Source organism: Homo sapiens, chromosome X, assembly GCF_000001405.40.
Source record: "Homo sapiens chromosome X, GRCh38.p14 Primary Assembly".
NCBI lineage: Eukaryota > Metazoa > Chordata > Mammalia > Primates > Hominidae > Homo > Homo sapiens.
The window spans coordinates 69,300,410-69,306,336 of NC_000023.11; the positions used below are offsets into that span (position 1 = coordinate 69,300,410).

The 5,927-nt window shown below is 53.3% G+C and overlaps 1 annotated feature.

Annotated features, from left to right (window-relative positions):
* Nucleotides 5,087-5,597: an enhancer, noted in NCBI's record as "NANOG hESC enhancer chrX:68525339-68525849 (GRCh37/hg19 assembly coordinates)". NCBI's record gives its function as "activates a minimal SCP1, AML or CMV promoter by ChIP-STARR-seq in naive H9 embryonic stem cells {active_cell/tissue: H9 hESC(naive)}" and the evidence as "EXISTENCE:reporter gene assay evidence [ECO:0000049][PMID:30033119]".

Consider the following 5,927-nt stretch of genomic DNA (forward strand, 5'->3'; position numbering starts at 1 on the left):
GGCTGCCCTGGGGTTCAGTGCATTGCATCCTGCAGCTCTGGACCTCCCCAGTGAGCCCATCTGCAGCCATGCTGTGGGTGAGGTCAGAAATCTTTGTTCTGCAGAAGAGATGACAACTCCCTGTCCTCACAGCCTGGTGGACAGCCCTGGCCAGGTGGGGGCCCTGCTTCCAGGGGAGGACTACAGGCAGGATGGTACCGAGGCTCTCCTCCCCAGTGAGTTGAAGGTGGGGGTCCAGGAATGAAGGGAGCACCCACCAGGACCAGGACCCTGACACAGTCTCCCCACCCATCCATCCTACCTTTCTCTCCTGACTGCCATGGGGGTCTCATTCACTCTAGAGTCGAAGCCCTGAACTTGGGCTCTGATAGACCTGGGTCTTCTACTTCCTAGCTGCAAATCCCTTCACCTCTCCGAGCCTTGATTTCCTTGTCAGCAAAATGGGCTAACTACCATTCCAACTTCATATGATTTGTGTGAGACTTAAAGGAGGTAGTGTACATCCTAAGAATTGCATAGCACCTGTCTGGCACACAGTGAATGCTCAATAAATGTGAGTAATTATGGGGCCCTCTTTCACCATCCTGCTGACCTTACCTCCTCTCATTCTACTGGCTTCTTGCATGGTCTTGAAGTGCCCCACTACCAGCATCCACTGAAAAGGTAGTTTCTGGCCCCAGGGCCCCCAGATCTCCTTGAGCATTCAGTGTGACCTTGGGCAGCCCACTTCACCTCATTTCCCTCATCCTTCAAACGCCTTCGTGGTGCTTCCATATACATCAAGGGACCCTCGGCTTCTTCTAGGTTTAATATTGCATTTCTAGAAACCATCTTTCTGTGTTGAGCCGGGTCGGTCTAGAATCTAGCCTAAATCCTCATGCTTGGATGTGCATGTGTGTGTGTGTGTATGTGTGTGCATGTGTTCATGTGCACTCCTGGGGGGAGGGCTGGGAAGTCCCAAACTTCCCCCTTTTCTCAGGCCAGTTTCTCTTCCACAGGGCAAGAAGCTTGTGGCTAGCCAGGATCCAATCTCCCTGCTGCAGACTGGCTGCCACCTGCCTGCCAAAGGGACGGTGGATCTTGTTCTCTGCACCCAACCAGTCCCACCTGTGGTCCTCCACCAAGCCCACCTGTGGTCCTCTGCGAGCAGCATCATCCACTTGGCTACATCCTCCCAGCCTCAGGACTTGCCTTTCCACCAGCCCCCGCCAGGGCTTTCTCCTGATTCCTCTCCCTCTGCTTCTCAGTCGGGGGGCCCTCCCTGGTCCCCCAGTACCCCACCCCACCACACATACACACACACACACACACACACACACACACACACACACACTCCCTACAGCCAGCTCTCCATCTCCTGTCCCTCTCCTTTCCTCCTTTTCCAAGACAAATCCAAACGTCTTGGTTCCTGTGCCTGACTTGCTGTGTGATCCTGAACAGCACACTTCCTCTCCCTCTCTGCCTCCCTTGAACCATTTGTGAAATGAGGGGAATCACACCTCCTACCTGTCAGCATTGCTGCAGCCTCTACCACAGGCCACAACAGGGAGGAGAAATGGACTAGACGGGTGGTTGCTGGGGCAGGTCGTGCCACTGTGGCTGGTCCTATTGGCACAGTAGCATGAAGTTGCAGAGTCCTGGCAGGGACTTAGACGCAACAGAGGTGACCTACCCTCGGACATCAGAGTGCCCTCCACAGGGTCCCCACTCCTTCCCAGAAGGACTATGGGCTCCCTCTGCCCTTCTGAACTGTCCACACAGATAATACAAGGACATCCTGATGTGGGTCCTCGGTCCCTGGTCTGCTCCCCAACTGTAAATTTGCAAATAAAGTCATCTCTAAGGAAGCCCCTTGGGCCCAGGGCTGTGGCGAGGCCAGGACCTGCGGCCAGCCAGGTGGCTTCCATTAGGTGCCAGCCAGCCCAGGACAGCAGAGCCGCTAATCCCAAGGTTTATGGGGCAGTCCTGCTCGCCAAGGCTCAAGGGCCCAAAAAGCAAAAATGGAATTTCCAAACTCCACTCAGTTTTTCCTCGATTTTTGTACTGCTTCCCAATCCCGGACTCTCTTTTTCATTCCTTGTTTTTGTCTCCCTCATCCTCTCAATCTCACAGTGCCTCCCTCTGCTCTCTGCTGGGCCTCCAGGCTCTCTAACCGCCTCTCCCCTCCCTGCTGACCAACTTTCTCTATCTTCACAGAGAACTTGTAGGTATGACACTGTGGTTGCTACAACTTTGAAACCCCTTCTTCTTCTTGTGCTCTTGCTCTGGGCTCTCTCTGTCCCCCTAAGACTAAGTCATTCATTCTCCCCCTCTCCTTTCTTGTCTTTCCTGGCTCAGCTGCCTCTTCCTCCTGGGCAGCAGCAGGGGCCTCAGTGGGCAAGGTGGGGAGCAGATGTGGGATGCCCTGCACCCCCACTGCTACCTTAGCGGACAAGGCTCATGGCAGCCCAGTGGATGGGTGAGCAGACAGATGAGTGGGTGGTGCAAGCCCTCCCAAGCCAGGCCTGCCAAGCACACAAGTACTTAGCCTACCTGGCTGCACAGACTTCAGCAGGGGTTTTGATTGACAACAGGAAATAAAGTAAAACACATAAAACAGAAAAAAATGCAGCCACCCAGCAACTGAATGCAAGCAGAACAGTAAGCAAGCTGCTTGGGCTTGGAGGGTGCTGGATAGACAGGACAGGCACAGAAAGAGAAGACCCTAAGTACTGGGTACCTGCCTTATGCCAGGGCTCTGGGCCAGGCTGGATCTGCACAGCAGTCCTGGCACAAAGATAAGGAGATGAGGACCCAGAGAGGCTAAGTGGCTTCCCCAAGGCATCTCTCCTAAAACATCCATCACTCCTCCTAAAGGACTCTCCTGTCACTGTCCTGCCCCAGGGTTCCAGGCTTTTCTTTCTCAGGCCTGTCCTCTGTATGGGGCCCCGCTGACAGGGCAAACTGCTTAGATAAGGCCAGTTGCCAGGACAGCCTATGTCTTAACCATTGCTGAAGTATTGGTCATCTTCAGGGTTTCCCCTGTTGTGCTCCTATCAGCTGCTTCCACTCCAGGCCACACCCCTTGGGGTCACAGTGGCCTCTACTCTAGTCCCAGGGCAAAGTTGCTCACCCTCTTGGTGCTCTTTGCTCCTGGATCCACAAGCTTCTCCATGGCCTGGGGTTTAGGCCCATAACTCAGCATCTGAACCTACCTCAGTGGTCTCAGTGGACTTCCTGAGCTCCACCCAAGACACTTGCCCCAATCAGCCTCTTCTCATCTACTCTACCCTGTCTCTTCTCCCCCAGTTCCCCCCAGCTCTCCACCCATATTCCACACCCACCATGTTCCAATTCTGGCCTTCTCTTTTTCCTTTTGATCCATTTTCCTCGTCTGCTTTTGCTATCAGTCACCTCTCTCCATTTTCCAGAGACCTGATGAAGGGAAGACAGGGACCCCAGTTCCCGGTACCTGCAGAGCAACGTAGCAGCCATATAGGAGGTTGAAGCCATATCCTAAAGCTCCTAGCAATATCCCTGGGGAAGGGAAAGTAAAGGGAGCCTACGGATAAGCAACTTCCCTCAAATCAGCTCGTTGCAAGGAAGGCAAAACTTGAGGTTAAGATGGAGGTTTCAGGCCTTGGTTACATGCTGAGAGAGGATTGCTGCCCCCTTCTCCCAATGCCCATGGGAGGGTCTATGTGAGTGACACTTCTAGAGCACAGAGAATACACTGAGAATGGTGCCTCCGGAGTTGGGGGCTCTACTTCCCTCCTACCCAGAATCTCCTATCCAAGTATTGCAAGGCAAGGACTTATCTCTCCCCTTCCACGGCTACCACCTTGGGCCACGCTGCCATCACCTCTCCCCTGACTCCAACAACAGCCTCCTCTCTGTGCTCCTACAATTAATTCTCCACACAACAACCAGAAAAATCTTTCAAACATGTAAATCAGATCATAGCACACCACAGCTCAAAATCCTCCAATGGCTTTTTCTGCCCTTAGAATAAACTTAGGGTGGAGTTCGTGACCAACATGGTGAAACTCTGTCTCTACTAAAAATACAAAAAAATTATCCGTGTGTGGTGGTGCATGCCTGTAATCCCAGCTACTTGGGGGGCTGAGGCAGGAGAATCACTTGAACCCAGAACCCGAGACCCCACCCCTGCACTCCAGCCTGGGCGACAGAGCCAGACTCCGTCTCACAAAAAAAAAAAAAAAAAAAAAAAAGAATAAACCTAGGCTGCTTACACACCCCTTGAGGTGCTTCGTGATCTGGTCTTCCAGCTCCTGCTTCTCCACTCCCCCCACCTATCCATCCACCGCCACCCCAAGCACCTCCTTCCTTCCCCCATTCCTGTCCGCAGGCGGGGCTGAGAAAAATGGACATTCTGCCATCAATGATAGACTGGATTAAGAAAATGTGGCACATATATATCATGGAATACTATGCAGCCATAAGAAAGGATGAGTTCGTGTCCTTTGCAGGGACATGGATGAAGCTGGAAACCATCATTCTAAGGAAACTATCACAAGGACAGAAAACCAAACACGGCATGTTCTCACTCATAGGTGGGAGCTGAACAGCGAGAACACAGGGACACAGGGCAGGGAACATCACACACCCGGGCCTGTCGTGGGGTGGGGAGCTGGGGGAGGGATAACATTAGGAGAAATATCTAATGTAAATGACGAGTTGATGGGTGCAGCAAATCAACATGGCACATATATACATATGTAACAAACCTGCACGTTGTACGTTGTGCACATGTACCCTAGAACTTAAAGTATAATTTAAAAAAAAAAGAAAGAAAGAAAGAAAAAGAAAAATGGACACTCTAGTTCTGGAAGGGAGGACCGCACAAAAACTTGCCAATCAACTGACGTCTCTCTAATGGTCGAGGGAAGCCGACTAAGGTGTCTTTGAGGGGGCGGTGATGGTAGGGAATTTAGAGGGTGGAGAGATTTGAAGAAAAGTTAGGAGAGTTGGTGCTGAGCCTGGATCAAGCAGGAAGGAGAATATGCACACCTGAAAGAAAGAAGGCCACCGACTTGCATCGGCACCCACCCTGTGCCCCGCCATTCAGACCCATTTTCTCTTTCCGGCTTCACCACCGCAGAGTGTGTTCCACTAGTTCCATTTCACAGACCAAGAAACTGAGGCTCCGAGAAAAATGAAGTGAACTGCCCGAACTGCCCCGGGTCACGCAGCTGAGCCCGGCTGCCAGCACAAGCCAGTGGGACTCTTTTCACGCCTGGGGCTCTGAAGAGCTGCTTGGGAACCATCAATTACTGAATCGAAGCAATTGAGGGAGCCCGGCGCGGCCTCGCCGCCTGCCCGGGCGGCTGCTCGAGCCCCTCCTCTTCTGCCGGCTGAGGCGTTTAGTCATTTAGACTTTGAAGGCAGCCTATTCTCACCAGCAGCTTTCCTGCCCGCACATTTGCATTTGGAGCCTTTCATCTGATCTCTCGGAATTAAAGGCTTTGTCTCCGATTAAAAGAATTCCAGGCCGGAGGAGCCCGGAGAGGGAGGGGAGGGGGCTCCAGGCCCCAGGCCTTCCTTCCCAGAGCTCCTGGCCTCGAACCGGCTCCGCCGGCTCCAGCGCGGGAGGCGGGGCGGCCCGGAAGGCCTGGTTTGGCCGGATAAAGCGAGGACCGTCTCAGGGATCCTACTCTACTCTTTAACCCTGCCGACTTCCCTGGCCACCCCGGGCGGAGCCTCCCAGCAGCCTAGGATGCAGTTGGTCCAGTACCAGGAGCTGGCTCAGGCAGCCTCCCAATCCCGACTCTAATGTTTATTGGCTGTGTGCTATTGCGCAGCCGGGCTCTCCCCTCGGAGCCTCAGTTTCCTCCTCTACAAAATGGGAGCAAGGGAATCTGTAAAAGTTGGGCTCCACCTGCCCATGGCAGAGGAAAGGGTTTGCTATTAAGAGGCAGGGAAAGAAA